A 20,039-nucleotide genomic window follows, 5' to 3' on the forward strand; every position below is an offset into this window, starting at 1 on the left:
ATAGGACATTAGATCAGAGAAGGTTGACCCCGTGGCCAGCCTGTTCTCAGGGGGGACTGACTCAGGCTAAGATGAGGCCAAAAGTCCTCAGCCTCGGGGGAAGAGAGGAGCCTCACCAAGTTTGCTTAACAAGTGTGTTATTTCTATTGACTGGCTCATCATTGATGAGGTGAAGAATGGGAATTGGAGGATCTGTGTCTGGCTTTGTCCTAGGTAATGGGTAGGGGGTGGAGTGAGGGGAGCATCCGTCACTTTTCCTTTTTTTTTTTTTTTTTTTGGAGACAGCGCCCAGCTGCATCACTTCTATCACTCTTACCTATGTTATGTGGGGAAGAAGGGGGTCTCTCGCAGCAAGCCACTTTCCACAACTCACAGAGAGGAGATTTTTATCAGATAAATTCAGCAGCGTCCTACCCAGCCTGAAGAAGCCACCCAGTCATTTCCTGTTGCACTTCCTTGTTTATTTTCGACACAGTTCTCCCCACCCCTGAGAATTCTTGTCACTTCCTCCTGTACTGCCCACTTCTACTCCCCCACCCCCACATCGGAAGCTAATGAGGAGCTTCAGGCCCCTTGCTGGCATGGGCCCCACCAAGACCCCATATCTCATTCCGTATTCACAATTTTACCTTCTTGTTCTTAAAGAAGGACATCCAAATGGAAAAGCTCTCAACCCCCCAAAACTTGGATGTGAACCTGGAGCATCTGTCATCTGTCTTGTTCACTACTTGTCCACCTACCAGGATCCTAAACGGAACCCTACGTAGGGAAGAGGCAGTGGCTGTAAAGGCTGGATTTGGGTCTGGAAGCCGCCCAGCTTTACGAAAACAAAGAGGGCTCCAGCATCAAGCAGGTGGGCAGGGGCCAGAGTGGGAATTACATTGACTCACACAACATAGTGTAAAAGGGTACAAACTATGAGGTTTAAAAGATGCTGCTGGCTTGTATAGAAACATGTCCTTAGGAGAGGGGAGGGGGACAGGATGGCAACAGCCATGTCTATGAACAGACATCCTTAAATCCTTGTTAATTCTGAAGAGACCAAGATACTTTCACCACACAACCTCTTCTTGGCATTAGCTCCAGGTTTCCTGTTTCCATGCCAGCTTTTGCTGGGTTATGCTACAATAATACACCGCCCCCAAATCTCAGTGTCTCACTTAAACGGAAGTTGATCATTTATCATTCATTTGCCCATATTCCATGCTGGCTATGCGTCAGATGCCACTGTGGTCCACGGTATTTTTCACTCTGGAACCCAGGCGGTAGGAACAGCCCATATCTGGTGCTGGCCATTCCAATGGCAGAGCAGTGGCACAACTACACAGTTTAGGATTCTCATGCTCTAAAGAGCTTTGTCACACTTGAAAGAATCTCACCTTAAAAACTCCTTTCCATCCTGAATTACTTATTTGCTGAGAAAGTGAGGCCAGCTGCTGGGTGTTTCCCTGCCCTTTCTCTTCTTTTTCTTTTTCTTTTTTTTTTTTTGAGACAGAGTCTCACTCTGTCAGCCAGGCTGGAGTGCAGTCAGTGGCACAATCTCGGCTCACAGCAACCTCCGTCTCCCAGGCTCAAACAATTCTCCTGCCCTAGCCTCCCGAGTAGCTGGGATTACAGGCGTGTGCCACCACGTCCGGCTAATTTTTGTGTTTTTAGTAGAGACGGAGTTTGACCATGTTGGTCAGGGTGTCCCAGCACCTCTGGCCTTGCCATGCCAGCCTGGCCACTGTGGTACACATTTTGTGGAACTCTTTTATTCTGAGCTGTGGCCATGACAAAAGGAGGACAGGAGAGAAACAGAAAAGACCAGTCATGTGTTTCTCACAATATAATTTGTTCTTCAAGTGTGACTTAACTGATGGAACCAGAGGGAAAAAACTTTCTGGAACTAGACAATAAGAATAAATCAGATCAAATAGCATGCTATTATGAAATGTGAAGCAAAGCAATATATTACATTTAATCATGGATGTCAAATTTTCAAAGCATATTTACTCTGAAAAAGGAAAAGAAAAAAACCCATGAGCTTACACACACACTCACATGCACACACATACACACACATGCACACACATACTCCTATACACGTGGATATTAGGCTGCTTACTTGAGCTGTCTTACAATTATTTATCTTAAAAAGATAAGCAAGGCATTTTAGACTTCTGAGATTTTACTACATAACTGAGCTGCTTTACTTTAGATAAGCCCTTCTGCATTACAAATAATAGTTTAATATTACATTAACAGTTAATTTTGGCTGGGCTCGGTGGCTCACACCTGTAATCCCAGCACTTTGGGAGGCTGAGGCAGGCTGATCACCTGAGGTCAGGAGGTCAAGACCAGCCCTACCAACATGGTTAAACCCAGTCTCTACTAAAAATAAAAAAAAAAATTAGCCAGGCGTGGTGCCAGGTGCCTGTAATCCCACCTACTTGGGAGGCTGAGGCAGGAGAATCGCTTAAACCCAGGAGGCGGAGGTTGCAGTGAGCCGAGATGGCGCCATTGCACTCCAGCCTGGACTCCCTCTCAAAACAACAACAACAACAATTTAATAGATATTTAATAAGTATTTTTTAAAAAAATAATTTCAACTTTTATTTTAAATGTGGGGGTACATGTGCAGGTTGGTTACACGGGTATACTGCGTGATGCTGAGATTGGGGGTATGTTCATCCTGTCACCTGGGTAGTGAGCCTAGTATCGTATAGTTAGTTTTTCAACTCTTGCTCTGCTCCCTACCTCCCTTCTGTAATAGTCCCCACTGTCTACTGTTGCCATCTTGTCATCCATGGGTAACCAGGGTTTAGCTCCCACTTACTTATTTGTTTATTTTTTGACATTGGAGTCTTGCTCTGTCGCCCAGGCTGGAGTACAGTGGCCTGATCTCCGCTCACTGCAACCTCCGCCTCCTGGATTCAAACAATTCTCCTGTCATATCCTCCTGAGTAAACTGAGATTACAGGCGAGGGCCACCATGCCTAGCTAATTTTTTTTTTTTTTTTTTTTTTTGAGACGGAGTCTCGTTCTGTTGCCCAGGCTGGAGTGCAGTGGTGCGATCTCGGCTCACTGCAAGCTCCGCCTCCCGGGTTCACGCCATTCTCCTGCCTCAGCCTCCCGAGTAGCTGGGACTACAGGCACCTGCCACCATGCCCAGCTAATTTTTTGTATTTTTAGTAGAGACAGGGTTTCACCGTGTTAGCCAGGATGGCCTCGATCTCCTGACTTCGTGATCCTCCCGCCTCGGCCTCCCAAAGTGCTGGGATTACAGGTGTGAAATACCATGCCCGGCTGCCTAGCTAATTTTTGTATTTTTAGTAGAGATGGGGTTTCACCATATTGGTCAGGCTGGTCTCAAACTCCTGACCTCAAGTGATCCACCTGCCTTGGCCTCCCAAAGTGCTGGGATTACAGGCGTGAGCCACCGTGCCCAGCCTAGCTCCCACTTTTAAGTGAGAACATGTGGTATGGTATTTGGTTTTCTGTTCTTGCATTAATTTGCTTAGAATAATCCAGCTGCATCCGTGTTGCTGCAAAGGACATGATTTCATTCTTTCATTATGGCTGTGTAGTATTCTATGGTATATACATACCACACTTTCTTTGTCCAGCCTACCATGGATGGGCACCTAAGTTGATTCCATGTCTTTGCTATTGTGAATAGCGCTGTGATGAACGTGAGAGTACATGTGTCTTTTTGGTAGAATGATTTGTTTTCTTTTGGATAGATGGCCAGTAATGGGATTTTTCCTGGGTGAAATGGTAGTTTTTTTTGTTGTTTGTTTGTTTTGAGATGAAGTCTTGCTCTGTCGCCCAGTCTGGAGTGCAACGGCATGATCTCGGCTCACTGCAACCTCCGCCTCCCAGGTTGAAGCGATTCTCATGCCTCAGCCTCCCGAGTAGCTGGGATTACAGGCACCCGCCACCATGCCCGGCTAATTTTTGTATTTTTTAGTAGAGATGGGGTTTCACCATGTTGGTCAGGCTGGTCTCGAACTGCTGACCTCAGGTGATCCACCCGCCTCAGCCTCCCAAAGTGCTGGGATTACAGGCGTGAGTCACCGCGCCTGACCATGGTAGTTCTTTTTAAAATTCATTGAGAAGTCTCCAAACTGCTTTCCACGGTAGCTGAACTAATTTACATTCCCACCAACAGTGTAGAAATGTTCCTTTTTCTCCACAGCCTTGCCAACATCTGTTGTTTTTTGAGTTGTTTTTTTTTTTTTAAACAGGGTCTCACTTTGTCACCCAGGCTGCAGTGTAATGTCGTGAACATTGCTCACTGTAGCCTTGACCTCCTGTACTCAAGTAATTATCCTACCTCGGCCTCCCGAGTAGCTGGAACCACAGGTACACACCACAGCGCCTGGCTAATTTTTTAAAATTTTTTGTAGGCTGGGCGAGGTGGCTCATGCCTGTAATCCCAGCACTTTGGGAGGCCGAGGCGGGCAGATCACCTGAGTTTGGGAGTTCGAGACCAGCCTGACCAACCTGGAGAAAGCCCATCTCTACTAAAAATACAAAATTAGCTGGGCATGGTGGTGTGTGCCTGTAATCCCAGCTACTTGGGAGGCTGATTCAGGAGAATCGCTTGAACCCGGGAGGCGGAGGTTGTGGTGAGCCTAGATCATGCCACTGCACTCCAGCCTGGGCAACAAGAGCGAAACTCCATCTCAAAAAAAAACAAAAGTTTTTTTGTATAGAGATGAAGGCCTCACCATGTTGCCATAGCTGGGGTTTTTGACTTTTTAATAATAGCCATTCTGGTTGGTGTTCTGGTTTTGATTTGCATTTCCCTAACAATCACTGATATTGAGCATTTTTTCATATGTTTGTTGGCTGTTTGTATCTCTTCTTTTGAGAAGTGTCTATTCATGTCTTTTGCCCACTTTTTAATGAGATTATTTGGTTTTTGTTTGTTAAATTATTTAATTTTATGGTAGATCCTGGATATTAGACCTTTGCCAGAGGCAGAGTTTGCAAATATTTTCTCCCATTCTGTAGATTGTTCACTCTGTTGATAGTTTCTTTTGCTGTGCAGAAGCTCTTTAGTTTAATTAGATCTCACTTATCAACTTTCATTTTTGCTGCAATTGCTTTTGAGGACTTGGTCATAAATTCTTTCCAAAGGTCATTGTCCAGAATGGTGAGTCCTGGGTTTTCTTCCAGGATTCTTATAGTATGAGGTCTTTTAAATCCTTAAACCATCTTGAGTTAACTTTTGGTGAAAGATAGGAGTCTAGTTTCATTCTTCTGCATATGGTTAGCCAGCTATCCCAGCACTATTTTTCGAATAGGGAGTCCTTTTCCTATTGCTTATTTTTGTCAACTTTGTGGAAGATCAGATGACTGTAAGTATGTGGTATGCTGCTTCATTTCTGGGTTCTCTACTCTGTTCCATTGGTCTGTGTGTCTATTTTTGTACCAGTACCATGCTGTTTTGTTTACTGTAGTCTTTTTTTTTTCTTTTGAGATGAAATCTTACTCTGTGGCCCAGGCTGGAGTGCAGTGGTGCAATCTTGGTTCACTGCAACCTCCGCCTCCTGCCTCAGCCTCCTGAAGCTGAGGATTCTCCTGCCTCAGCCTCCTGAGTAACTGGGACTACAGGTGCGTGCCACCACACCTGGCTGATTTTTTATATTTTTGGTAGAGACGGAGTTTCACCATGTTGGCCAGATGGTCTAGATCTCTTGACCTCGTGATCCGCCCAAGTCAGCCTCCCAAAGTGCTGGGATTACAGGCATGAGCCACCGAGCCCAGCCTACTGTAGACTTATAGTATTGTTTGAAGTTGGATAGTATGATATATCTAGCTTTGTTCTTTTTGCTTAGGATTGCTTTAGCTACTCAGGCTCCTTTAGGTTCCATATGAATTTTAGGATAGTTTTTTTCTAATTCTGTGAAAAAATGATGTTGGCAGTTTGATAAGAATAGCATTAAGTCTATAGATTACTTTGGGCAGTATGACCATTTTAACAATATTGATTCTTCCAATCCATGAGCATCAAATGCTTTACTCTTTGTGTCATCTATGATTCCTTTTTTTTTTTTTTTTTTGAGATGGAGTCTCGCTCTGTCACCAGGCTGGAGTGCAGTGGTGCAATCTCAGCTCACTGCAACCTCTGCCTCCCAGGTTCAAGCGATTCTCCTGCATTAGCCTTCTGAATAGCTGGGACTACATGTGTGCACCACCATGCCCAGCTAATTTTTGCATTTTTAGTAGAGTCAGGATTTCACCATGTTGGCCAGGATGGTATCGATCTCTTGACCTCGTGATCTGCCCATCTTGGCCTCCCAAAGTGCTGGGATTACAGGAATGAGCCATCACGCCCAGTCTCATCTATGATTTCTTTCAGCAGAGTTTTACAGTTTGCCCTGTAGAGATCTTTCACCTCCTTGGTTAGATGTATTCCTGGATATTTTATTGTTTTTGTGGCCATCATAAATGGAATTGCTTTTTTTTTTTTTTTTTTTTTGAGATGGAGTCATGTTCTTGTTGCCCAGGCTGGAGTGCAGTGGTGCGATCTTGGCTCACTGCAACCTCTGCCTCCCAAGTTCAAGCAATTATCCTGCCTCAGCCTCCTGAGTAGCTGGGATTACAGGCGCCCACCACGATGCCTGGCTAATTTTTGTACTTTTTAGTAGAGATGGGGTTTCACCATGTTGACCAGGCCAGTCTCGAACTCCTGACCTCAGGTGATCCGCCCGCCTCGGCCTCCCAAAGGGCTGGGATTACAGGTGTGAGCCACTGCGACTGGCTTATTTTTTTTTATTTTTTTGAGACAGAGTCTTACTCTGTTGCCCAGGCTTGAGTGCAGTTGCACCATCTCAGCTCACTGCAGCCTCCACCTCCTGGACTCAAGCCATCCTCTCACCTCAACCTCCTGAGTAGCTGGGATTACAGGTGCCCGGCACTACACCAGGCTAATGTATTTTTAGCAGAGACAGATTTTCGTCATGTTGGCCAGGCTGGTCTCGAACTCCTCACCTCAAGTGATCTGGCCACCTCAGCCTCCCAAAGTGCTGAGATTACAGGTGTGAGCCACCACACCTGGCCCTGGAATTGCATTCTTGATTTGGCTCTCAGTTTGTACATTATTGGTAGATAGAAATGCTACTAATTTTTGTGTCTTGATTTTGTATCCTGAAACTTCACTGAAGTCATTTATCATTCCAGGAGCCTTTTGATAGAGTCTTTATGGTTCTCTAGGTATAGAATCATATTATCAGTGAAGAGAGATAGTTTGATTTCTTCTTTTCCTGTTTTGATGCCTTTTATTTCTCTTGACTGATTGCTCTGGCTAGCCCTTCCAAGACTACGTTAAATAGGAGAGGTGACAGTGGGCATCTTTGTCTTGTTCTGGTTCTCAGGCGGAATGCTTCTGGCTTTTCCCCATTTGGTATGTTGGCTATCAGTTTGTCATAGATGGCTCTTATTATTTTGAAATATGTTCCTTTGAGGCCTAGTTTGCTGAGGGCTTTTATCATGAAAGGATGTTGGATTTTACTGAAAGCTTTTCCCATGTCTATTGAGATGATCATATGGTTTTTGTCTTTAGTTCTGTTTATGTGATGCATTACATTTGTTGATTTGTGTATGTTGCTGCTGGATTTGGTTTGCTAGTATTTTGTTGAGGATTTTTCTGTCTGTGTTCATCAGGGATATTAGCCTGTGATTTTCTCTTTTTTTGTTGTGTCTTTGCCAGGTTTTGGTATTAGGGTGATTCTGGCTTTGTAGGATGAATTAGGGAGGAGTTTCTCCTGCTTGATTTTTTGGAATCATTTCCAAAAATGATTCCAAGAATCAATCGAAGAGCTAGGATTGGTACTAGCTCTTCTTTGAACATCTGGTAGAATTCAGCTGTGCATCCATCTGGACCAGGGCTTTTTTTGTTTGGTAGGTTTTTTATTACTGATTCAAGTTTGGAACTTGATATTGTTCTGTTCAGGGTTTCAATTTCTTCCTGATTCAATCTTGGGAGGTTGTGTGCTTCCAGAAATGTATCCATTTCCTCTAGATTTTCTAGTTTGTGCACATAGAGGTGTTGATAATAGTCTCTGAGGACCTTTTGTATTTCTGTGGTATTGGTTGCAATATTGCCTTTGTCATTTCTCATTGTGCTTATTTGGATCTTTTGTCTCTCTCGTTTTCTTTGTTACTCTAGCTAGTGGTCTGCCAGTCTTGTTTATCTTTTCAAATAACCAGTTATTGGTTTTGTTGATTCTGTGTATGGATTTTTGCATCTCAATTTGGTTTAGTTCTGCTCTGATTTTAGTTACTTATTTTATTCTGTTAGTTTTAGGTTTAGTTTGTTGTTGTTTTTCTAGTTCTTCTAGGAATTATATTAGATGGTTAATTTGAGATCTTTCTAACTTTTTGAGGTAGGCGTTAAGTGCTATAAACTTTCCTCTTAACACTGCTTTTGCTGCATCCCAGAGATTTTGGTATGTTGTATCTTTGTTTTCATTTATTTAAAATAATTTTTTAATTTCTGCCTTAACTTTATTGTTTGCTCAAAAGTCATTCAGGAGTAAGTTTTTTAATTTCCATGTAATTGTGTGGTTTTCAGAGATCTTCTTGGTATTGATTTCTATTTTATTCCACCGTGGCCCAAGATTGTGGTTGGTATGATCTTGATTTTTTGAATTTATTGAGACTTGCTTTATGGCTAAGCTAGTGATCAATCTTGATGTATGTTCTGTGTGCAGATGAGAAGAGTGGTTGATCAGTGGAGTGTTCTGTAGGTGTCAATTAGGTCCAGCTGGTTGTGTCCAATTTAAGTCCAGAATTTCTTTGTTAGTTTTCTGCCTCAATGACCTTTCTAATGGGGTGTCGAAAACCTCCGCTACTATTTTATGGCTGTCTAGGTCTTTTCATAGGTCTAGAAGTACTTGTTTTATGAATCTGGGTGCTCCAATGTTGGGTGCATATATATTTAGGATAGTTAAGTCTTCTTGTTTAACTGAAATCTTTATCATTATTTAATGCCCTTCTTTGTCCTTTTCTACTTTTGTTGGTTTAAAGTCTATTTTATCTGATATAAGAATAGTGACTCTGGCTCTTTTTTTTGTTTTGTTTTCCATTTGCATAATAAATATTTATCCAATCCTTTACTTTGAGCCTATGGGTGTCATTATGTATGAGATGAGTCTTTTGAAGTCAGCACTCGGATAGGTCTTGTTTTTTCAATCCAACTTGCACTCTGTGCCTTTCAAAAAAAATAAAGATAGGATCTCACTTTGTTGTCCAGGCTGGTCTCAAACTCCTGAGCTGAAGCAATCCACCCACCTCAGCCTCCCAAAGGATCACAAGCATGAGTCACTGTGCCTGGCCATGACATTCTTTATAACATTTTATTTTTCTTGATACAATTTCTTTTGATTTTCTTTATAAAATTCATCTTTTTGTCATTAAAGTCCTGTTTTGTACTGTCATACATTTGGCCTCAAATTCCATATCAGTTAATACACATATTGCTACTCCTGCCTTATTTTGTTAAAGGGAACCCTGGCTCTTTTTAGTTGAAATTTGTATTTAGAGGTCATAGTCCTGGCCCAAGGGTTGCTTATTGCCCCTGGGTTGGTCCTTGTTTCTAACACTTTTCAGCAGATAGAGCTAGGAAATAAATTTTGTTTGCTCATTTGTTCTATTTATGGTTTTTTTTCTTTTTCTTTCTTTTTTTCTTTCTTTCTTTTTTTTTTTTTTTGAGATGGAGTCTCACTCTGTTACCCAGGCTGGAGTGCAGTGGCGTGATCTCAGCTCACTGCAACTTCTGCCTCCCAGGTTCAAGTGATTCTCCTGCCTCAGCCTCCCAAACAGCTGGACTTACAAGTGTGTGCCACCATGTCTGGCTAATTTTTTTGTATTTTTAGTGGAGACAGGGTTTCACCATATTGGTCAGGCTGGTCTTGAACTCCTGACCTCAGGTGATCCACCTGCCTTGGCCTCCCAAAGTGCTGCGATTACAGGCGTGAGCCACTGTGCCCGGCCTTGATTTATGTTTTTTTAAAAGAAAATATATCATGAGTCCATATTGACATTTATAAATCAAATTTAGGAATAAAAGGGTTTTCTTATTTTGTTATTTTATTTTGTTTTCTTATATTGACATATCTTTGCATTTTCCTTTAATCTCTTTCAAGCATTTGGCCACAAATTAAAAAGTAGAGTCTATTTAGTCTAAAGGCTATCTTGTTCCTTCCTCAAAATATAGTTAGTCATTAAAGTAATTTACTTTTACTCTTGGAGCTGATTTTGGCTTGGGAAGCTAGTTAAACCACAAAATTGTTTACCTGGACTAGATTAAGATGATGACTTATGACTTGTCTTCACTAGCTTGAAGTAAACCAGATGTCCTCATCATTTGGCTTTTATTATTGTCCTAATAAGTCTGTGTGTGGGATGGCTAATTGGCTCATCATAGTGTTAACCTTCTGTACATGTCTGTTAATATCAACATCAAACAGAAGCATCGGGGGAAAGAACATTAAAGGCAGGTACAGGGGAAGAGACTGAAGGTTGCTCTGCACCAGACAAGCAACAGGAATAGAAAATGCACCAGAACGCAAAGCCAGCCATGGCGCATGGCTCAGAATACTAGAAATTAGGCTTTTCCCCAGTCTAACTGTCTCTACTGGTGTGCTAACCTTTCATCTTAGCATCTCTGCTGGTAGTTTCTGCTCCTTCTGCCCTTCACATCCTCTTCATTTGTCAAAATGCAACTCATATTTCATCTTTTTCTTGAAACTTGGCACAATCTAAGCTGATCCGGATCAGCTACTTCAAAATGGAGCAGGGGTGGGGGCTCCAGCAGCAGGAAGAGCAGTTTCAGAACTAAGGGCGTCAAATAAGGAACAGATGTGGGTTGTTACAGATTGGGAACGGATGTGGGTTACAGATTGGGAACGGCTGGAAGGTTGTTTACTGTAATTACGGGCAAGGAGGCAAGGTAGTTAGGCTTTGAAAATAAAGGACAAGAGGAACCTTTGAGGAGGAACTCACTGTTTCCAACAACTTTTAGAATCTTGCTAGGATACAAATGCAAATTATTTTTGTCTCATAGAAAAGATAATTTCTGAAGTTAAGTTTTAGTTCTCTGAAGGTGCATTAACCAGTTTTGTATCTAGCAATCTCATTCCTCATCTTTCTTCAGCAAATAAACAATGTTTCAGGTTATCTTTGAACTAGCTTTATCACCTGATTTTTTCCACATCAGTATTAAGTCTTTGACATGCACTTACATTGCATCCTCATACATTGGTATGAGGATTGTGTTTTACAACCTCTTGAAAATTATACTTTGATAAATAAGGGAACCATGACATCTGGAAATCATTGCAGCAGGTAGCTTTGTGTGCACCCCTCCAGCCCCTAGGAGAAGCAGATGGCACCTGTCAAGAGTAAGGGTCCCACACTGGGGCAGAGGGAGGAGTACAGAGGAGCCTTCCCTTAGCAAGATGAATCACTTTTGAGAGAATTCACCTAGGTTACTGTAAGCAGCCCCATTGTCTAGGGACAGAGACATTTCTTGTTGACATTTAAAAGAAAAACCTATACATCCTTGATATGGAGGCCTCGGGTGGGACAAACACCAGGAGCGTTTCTGCCCCGGGTTTGCAGGGGTGGGAGGGATGGTGCTCTAGGACAAGCTGAGCCCAAGCACTGGGTCACAGCACGGCTGAGCTGAGCAGTGAAAAGGGAGGGCCATCTCTGTGGCAATTTTGAAACAAGGTCACAAATTATTGGACCCTCTTTTCATGGAGAGATGGGGCCTGTGTTCCATCCTTCTGAATCTGGGAGGGCTGTGACTGCTATAGCCAACAGCGTACATCAGAAGGGACCCTGGGTGGCTCCCATAAAGGTCCCATCATAAAAGTCCCACCCTGAGCGCAGGAACACTCCCCCTCAGAGCCCTGAGGTGACCGCTCTGAGGTGTCGGGTATAAAGAAGCCTGGCCACACAGACAGGCTGCGTGCAGGTGCACGGGGACGGTCGCAGCTCGCCTCACCCCTGGGTGGCCCCGGGCAGGCATGGGAGTGAGGAAGCCCGGGGCCTGCTCTGGCCGCCCCAGTGACCTCGACACTCAGCTCTTTCCAGCCGAGGCCACAAGCATCACGGAGCAGGGGCCTGCCCACTCTGCCTCCTGAGAATTCTTGACCAGCAGAATTCACGAATGTACAAAGCTTCGGGGGTTATGTTTTAAATAACTTCATACTGAATCAAGTTGACCCTCAAGATCAAGATTCATTCTCAGCATAACTGACACGTTGGGCTGTAATTCTCTGGTGCGCGGTGGGTGGGCGCGCTGCCTCGGGTGCTGTAGGATGTTTAGCAGTATTGCCGGCTTCTACCCACCAGATGCTAGGAGCACTCCCTACCCAAGTTGTGACAACACAAAATGCCTCTAGACATTGCAATGTCCCCTGAGGACCAGAAGCTTCCAATCGGGAACCACTGGTCCAGATCCCTGGCCTCAAATGCTCCCGGACACCTGCCACACACCCACTTTAGGAAGCCAACTGTGGCTGGCATTGCACCGTGGTGTTACAGGTGCCTGGGTCCTTGTAATCTCCCAGGATAGAAATCAAGAGAGATCACCAGACATAGTAGCAAAGAGAGTTTATTTTAGCTTGTGCACAAGGAAGTCAGCACCAAGAAGGAAAAACGACTAGGCTGCTCCCCAAGGGTAGTGTGTGGGTTGGTTTTATAGGACCTTTCTCTGTGAAGGGTTACGTCAGGGCATGTTTAGGAGGGTTTTCCTAGTGCTTGAGTACTTACTGGCTTAACATTTTTTAAAAAACACATTGTGTGCAGTAGTAGCATTTTAAATCTCAAACTCCTGACCCCAGGTGATGCACCCAGCTCAGCCTCCCAAAGTGCTGGGATTACAGGCATGAGCCACTGTGCCCTTCCTACATTTCTGTTTTTATTCTACCAATAATTTTAAAGTCAGCTTGTTTAGCAAAGTTATACTTAAGTCAGGTGAACTTGAAAATTGCTTAAACTTATTTACTTTATTTATGAGTGCTCTTTTACTTGTAAGCCAATTTGGTAGACACAATGTATTACAATAGGTGTACATACAAATAAACACATCTAGACATGTAGACCCACACATAAACGAAGAACCAACAGCTTGGAACCTTAGCTGTGAGATAGCAATACAAGCTTGTTGGCATTTACTTTGTCTCAATAGATAATCCAACAAAGGCTGTGAACCAAAATTTCAGGTAAAGCAGTCTCCATGGAGCTTGATTTTTCAAGACCAAACCTCTCCAGATTCCAAAGAACACTGGGGCCAAACAGCACCCAAGGAGCATGTCACATGTTAACCAGGCCCCCTGCTTAGAACAGCAGCAACAAAGGCTGGATACATGCAATGCCATCCCACTTTCCCATTCAACAGGAAACTCCAGATTCCAAACTATACTGGGGCTAAACAGTATTGCAAACCGGAGAGAAAATTCTAAGGGGGGCTTAGTACTAGACCTCAAAACCTCTGCCGAGAGCACCCCCTTTGGAGAGGTTGAGATTCGGAGGATCCTCAGGGCGTCCCCCTATGGGGTCCAAAAGAGTGTCAGACGTCTCTGACCTTTCTCTGCATGTTTTCCCTCCAGAGCCTCCTATGAGCTATGAGCTTGATAAGGATAGCCCTGAACTGTAATGATACATAGGAACTGGATGCTGGGTGGGCTTTTTTGTCCTTAGATAGTTGAATAGGACAAGCAAAAAACTTAGCATAAGAAAAGGTTTAAGTCACCTGAAACAAGTGTGAGTTACCACCACCACCGTAGGGATCAGGGACCACACCTGGAAAAGATAAAAAAAAAAAAGAGTCATTCCCCCTTCTGGGTAGGGCAATTATTCCCATTCACTCTTTGGCCTTCAGGCGATACCAGGGAGTGACCCCAGCGAATTGCCCTCAATTTCCAAGAAGCTACTAGGAAACAGCCGCTAAAAGACTGAAAAACAAACAAAGGAAAAGAAAAAAGAAAAACACTCAGGTCCCTTAAGTGAATAGGGTGGTGGTGGTTAGGCACCTCCACATGGAAACCCCTTATTTCACTGGTCACAGCCAGAAACCTGCAGTTGCTTCCATGTTTCTGCGCTTCCCACCAAGGGTCCCGAGGTGGAAAGGAACAGACAGACAGAGAAAAATCTCCCTGTATGTAAAAGGGGAAAGGAGAAAAATAAATCCCAAACTTTGGGCCTACCTTCTCCTGGCTGGCTCGCCAAAATATGTTACCGGTGGAGGGTGTCCAGTTTCTTGGTGTCTTGAACAAAGAATTAGACAAAAGGCACAAACAAAATAAGGAAGGAATGAAGGGATTTATTGAAAATCAAAGTACACAGCTGGGCGCAGTGGCTCAAGCCTGTAATCCCAGCACTTTGGGAGGCCGAGGTGGGTGGATCACCCTGATGTCAGGAGTTCAAGACCAGACTGGCCAAGATGGTGAAACCCCGTGTCTACTAAAAATACAAAAATTAGCTGGGTGAGATGGCGGGCGCCTGTAATCCCAACTATTCGGGAGGCTGAGGCAGAGAATTGCTTGAACCTGGGAGGCAGAGGTTGCAGTGAGCCGAGATCAGACCACTGTACTCCAGCCTGGGTGACAGGGCAAGACTCTGTCTCAAAAAAAAGAAAAAAAAGAAAAGAAAATGAAAGTACACTCCACAGTGTGGGAGCAGGGCTGAACAGAGGGGCTCTAAGGCCCCGTTACAGAATTTCTGGGAGTTTAGATACCCTCTAGAGGTTATATTCCATTGGTTACTTTGGGTGCACCCTGTGTAAATGAAGAGGATGAAGTAAAGATACACAGTCTTTTACTCGGTGTGCACCCTGTGGAGAGGATATTTCCTGTAATAGCTGAAGTGTGAATCGGCCTTATGTTCCCTGCTTCCAGACCCTATTTTTCTGCTTCAGTTTGGATCTGTGTACCCCGACCAAATCTCATGGGGAATTGGAATCCCCAGTATTGGAGATGGGGCCTGGTGGGAGGTGATTGGATCACGGCGCGGAGTTCTCATGAACACCTTAACAGCATCCCCCCTCGGTACTGTAAAGTGAGTTCTCATGAGATCTGCTTGTTTGAAAAGTGTGGAACACCTTCCCCTTCTCTCTCTTCCTTCTGCTCCAGCCATGTAAGATGCCTGCTTCCCCTCTGCCTTCCACCATGATTGAAAGTTTCCTGAGACCTCCGGAGAAGCAGAAGCTGCTATGCTTCCTGTACAGCCTACAGAATCGTGAGCCAATTAAACCTCTTTTCTTGCCAGGCGCGGTGGCTCACGCCTGTAATCCCAGCACTTTGGGAGGCCGTGGAGGGTGGATCACGAGGTCAGGGGTTTGAAACCAGCCTGGCCAACATGGTGAAACCCTGTTTCTACTAAAAATACAAAAATTAGCCGGGTGTGGTGGTGGGCACCTGTAGTTCCAGCTACTGGAGAAGCTGAGGCAGGAGAATCACTTGAACCCGGGAGGCGGAGTTTGCAGTGAGCCTAAAAACAAACAAACAAAAAACTCTTTTTTTAATAAATTAGCCAGGTATTTCTTTAGAGCAGTGTGAGAACAGACTAATGCAGGGTGATCATTTGGATCTAGCTGCAAAGAGAAGTTTGACGTTTGCATTCATTGAGCCCTTTTAGAAAAGATCAGGCAGCTAACTGTTGGCAAGGGTATAGAAACTTGTGTGCTGGAAATCAAAAGGCCTGAGTACCTGTCCATATTTCCTGCAACTTGAGGGATCTCTGTATAGAAATTGAGAAAGAAAAGAAACTTTATCTGAGGAATGCAAGCCTGCTATAAATTATAGACCCACAGAGGCATGAGAGTGAGGCAGCAGTCCATCCCACCACCCGCCTTGAGCTAAGTAATCAGCTCTTGAAGCTGCTTGCTATGTGGGCTCTAGACCAGCTGCTGCCACAAGCAGCTATCAACTAACCAAGCAAGGCCACTCACTGGACACCATACTCCATACCCCACAGTTCACCAATGTATAGTCAATCACTAATCAATCTTATTTGTCTAACCAATGGGAATTCCTGACAAACAGCTGTATCAGCCCACTCCCTGTCCCTCTTATTGCTTTGGAAAACCTGCTTCTGTCAAAGGCCTAACAGAGCTCATATCCAAGGTGACCTGGGTCTGAGTCTTCCAGGTGGCTGTCCTCTCAACTTGGCTCAAGTAAACTTTTTTTTAACTGTTATTTTAGGTTTGGGGTACATGTGAAGGGAAACTTGCATCACGGGGTCCTTGTCGTACAGATTTTTTCATCACGCAGGTACTAAGCCCAGTACCCAATAGTTATCCTTTCTGCTCCTCTCCCTCCTCCCACCCTCCCCCATCAAGTAGACCCCAGTGTCTTGTTTCCAACCTATGTTGTTCATGATTTCTTATCATTTAGCTCGCACTTACAAGTGAGAACATGTGGTATTTGGTTTTCTGTTCCTGTGTCAGTTTGCTAAGGATAATCGCCTCCAGCTCCATCCATGTTCCAGCAAAAGACATGATCTTGTTCTTCTTTATGACTGCATAAACTCCTTAAAATTATATTTTGTGGCTGGGTGTCCTAGCACTTTGGGAGGCTAAGGTGGGTGGATCACCTGGGGTCAACAGTTCAAGACCAACATGGTGAAACCCCGTCTCTACTGAAAAATACAAAAATTAGCCGGGCATGGTGGCGGGAGCCTGTAATCCCAGCTACTTGGGAGGCTGAGGCAGGAGAATTGCTTGAACCCAGGAGGTGAAGGTTGCAGTGAGGCGAGATTGCGCCATTGTACTCCAGCCTGGGCAACAGAGCAAAAACTCCGTCTCAAAATAAATAAATAAATAAAATAAAACCAAAGTATATTTTGTGCCTCAGTTCCTTCTTTTAGGTCAACAAAATAATAAATTATTTATTGGCCGGGCGCGGTGGCTCACGCCTGTAATCCCAGCACTTTGGGAGGCCACGATGGGCGGATCACGAGGTCAGGAGGTCGAGACCATGCTGGCTAACACAGTGAAACCCCGTCGCTGTTAACAATACAAAAAATAGCTGGGCGTGCCTGTAGTCCCAGCTACTTGGGAGGCTGAGGCAGGAGAGTGGCGTGAACCTGGGAGGCGGAGCTTGTAGTGAGCCGAGATCGCGCCACTGCACTCCAGCCTGGGCGACAGAGCGAGACTCCATCTCAAAAAAAAAGAAAAAAAAATTATTTATCATTATTAAATAAGAACCCATAGATGTAACGCTGCTGTGTGCAAACCTAAATGTCAGTCATATCGTGGAGTAGAAAAAGAGAAAGTTGAAGTTCTAGACCCAGCTTTGCCCCTTACTAGCCTTGGGTTCTGGAGCAAGCCACCTGGTCTGAAAGTGGCTTTCCTGGGCTATGACAGTGCATAGTACAGTCTGCCCTGTGGGGCTCACCAACCTGCAGATAGGAGCAAACAAAGCCATGCACAGGAAGATGCAGGCAATGCACGGTGTTAGTAAAAGACCATCTCAGAAATAGGAGCCACTGTTTTCCTAAGCCCAAATGGACTAATTAGCCCAGACAGCCCCCTCACTCATACCCATGTTGAATCAGTCCCAGAAACACTGTCAATTCCAACTAAGCAATGTCCCTTGATTCTGCACTCTCCTCTCCAGCTGCAGGACCAATGTCTTGGGTTTCTTTTACGTGTTTGAGAAACACCCCATACCTTGTAGCATAAACCAGTGATGATGTTGTTATGCCCACACATTGTGAGGGTCTGGAATTCTAAAAAGGCCCAGTTGGGATGACTGCCATTGCTCCACAGTGTTTGGAGCCTCTGCTGGGAAGACTCACTTGGTTTCAATTTGTTCAAATGGCTGGGCCCTGAGACAGCTGGGGCTGGAGAGTGCGCATACTGGGTGAGCCCTTCCTCCCACATGGGGCACTGGGCTGGGATGGTGGAAAGACAGGCCCAGCTGAGACGGTCAAACAGAGCCCCACCCCCATGTGGCCTCTCATCCCTCAGAGCCCCCCATGTGTCCCCCCCCCCACAAGAGTCCCCCCATGTGTCCTCCCCTCCACCAGAGTCCCCTCAGCATGGGGGGGATCTCTGGGATCCTTCTGAAGTAGCAGCTGGATTCTGAGAAAAATCTTCCCAAGACGGGCCTCCAGGGAATCAGCACTCCAGCCGTTTTCCAGCCTCCTCGAGTCATAGGACATCACCTCACTCTGCTCAGTAGCTGGGGGCATCGCCTTTCTTTATCTTTGTTTTTTTTTTTTTTTTTTTTGAGACAGAATTTCACTCTTTTACCCAGGTTGGAGTGCAGTGATGCGATCTCGGCTCACCGCAACCTCTGTCGTCTGGTTTCAAGCGATTCTCCTACCTCAGCCCCCTGAGTTGCTGAGATTACAGGCACCAGACACCACGCCCAGCTAATTCCACACCCAGCTAATTTTTGTATTTTTAGTAAAGATAGGGTTTCACCATATTGGCCAGGTTGGTCTCAAACTCCTGACCTTGTGATCCGCCCGCCTCCCAAAGTGCTGGGATTGCAGGCGTGAGCCTCCGCGCCCAGCCCGCCTTTCTTTTAATGCTTTGATATCTGGCAATTCCTTTTCTTATTTCCCTGAAATGAATGCCTGGCTTAGAGTAGGAAACGAATTTGTTGAGTTAATAGATTGGTGAAATGACTGCAGTGCTATGATGTTGAGAAATATTTTCTTTTCGGTCAGCATACACATATATGTGTATATGCTTATGGGGGTGTGGGGTAGGTGTATATACGCATGTGCACGCCCATTCGTGTATATCTCCCAGGCACTGTTTTGCAGGACAAATAGAAATTCCTCTCTGAATTTTTCATCCTTAGGTATTTTTACAGCATTCCTTTCTATTTCTATCTGGCTTAGACATTGGAGCAGTTCTTAGGATGCTTGCTGCAGCCAACAGACAAAAGGAAAAGTGACTTCTCTACACTTTATGATTTACATCAATTTTATGTAATTAAAGTAATTTAGAGCTGAGTTTCTGAGCTTATAATTAGGGTTTTAAAGCTTATGTAAAGCTGCTCTTTCAAGGAGAATTACTTCTTAGATATAAGAGCAGATTTGGACAGAAGCATTTGGATTCTGTCAAAAGACATTATTTTGTGTGTATCTGCCTACTGTGAATACCGACATAACTTCCACACTAAATTATGACTATGGCTTCTTGAAATGTCACCAAAAACAATGTGATAAAAACGCAAGAATATGTCCTGTTTAGTGATAACCTCTATAGTGAATTTCATTGGGTAAAATTAAAATAATCTACAGGAAGACTGTATTTATTTATGAGTCAGTTACGAGAAAACATTCTGAGGAAATGATTGAGTCTTTTCACCCTCAATTTACTGTTTTAAAATGCGGGTAATTATTTTTTCGGTCTCTTGGGAATTTAACTATTACACAACTTATTACCCCATACAAGTATTCAAATATGAGACTGACTCATATATACTGTTTCACATTATTCTTTTAAAATTGAGAAAATTATTGAATATAATTAAAAATTCATAAAATACTTTCAATGTTACTGTATTTCTACCAGTTTTATTTCTTCTCATTAAAAATCCAAACCATTAGCCTTTTGCAGAGAGCTAAGAGTTGACTCTATCATACAGCTAGAATATATATTTACGTGATTTATCCTGGAGTTGACTGCATGTAAGTGATATATTAGAGGTACTCTCATTAAGAATGTTTGTTTTGTGCCACGCGTGGTGGCTCACACCTGTAATCCCAGCACTTTGGGAGGCCGAGGGGGTGGGTCATGAGGTCAGGAGTTCGAGACCAGACCGACGAACATGGTGAAACCCCATCTCTACTAAAAATAGAAAAATCAGCCAGGCATGGTGGTGTGCATCTGTAATCCCAGCTACTTGGGAGGCTGAAGCAGGAGAATCGCTTGAACCCAGGAGGCGGAGGCTGCAGTGAGCCGAGATTGCGCCACTGAACTCCAGCCTGGGTGACAGAGCAAGACTCCATCTAAAAAAGAAAAGAAGAATGTTTGTTTTGTCTTAAATAACTGAACCAAACATATATGTATATAC

General features: G+C 44.1%; 1 long non-coding RNA gene across 1 annotated transcript, besides 1 other annotated feature; it reads right to left on the reverse strand.

Annotated features, from left to right (window-relative positions):
* Window positions 318–604: a transcriptional cis regulatory region, noted in NCBI's record as "candidate enhancer chr6.5886 targeted for multiplex CRISPR interference". NCBI's record gives its function as "positively regulates RNASET2 gene expression in K562 cells {active_cell/tissue: K562}" and the evidence as "EXISTENCE:mutant phenotype evidence [ECO:0000015][PMID:30612741]".
* LOC105378120 (uncharacterized) lies at window positions 8,468–15,930 on the reverse strand. Its single transcript, NR_188001.1, has 5 exons — window positions 15,420–15,930; window positions 14,211–14,270; window positions 13,757–13,806; window positions 10,644–10,830; window positions 8,468–9,205 (listed from the first exon to the last, which is right to left on the reverse strand). It is a non-coding gene; the product is annotated as an uncharacterized LOC105378120 (long non-coding RNA).
* Between the last annotated feature and the right edge of the window lie 4,109 nt (window positions 15,931–20,039).

Source organism: Homo sapiens, chromosome 6 (genome assembly GCF_000001405.40).
Source record: "Homo sapiens chromosome 6, GRCh38.p14 Primary Assembly".
Taxonomy (NCBI): domain Eukaryota; kingdom Metazoa; phylum Chordata; class Mammalia; order Primates; family Hominidae; genus Homo; species Homo sapiens.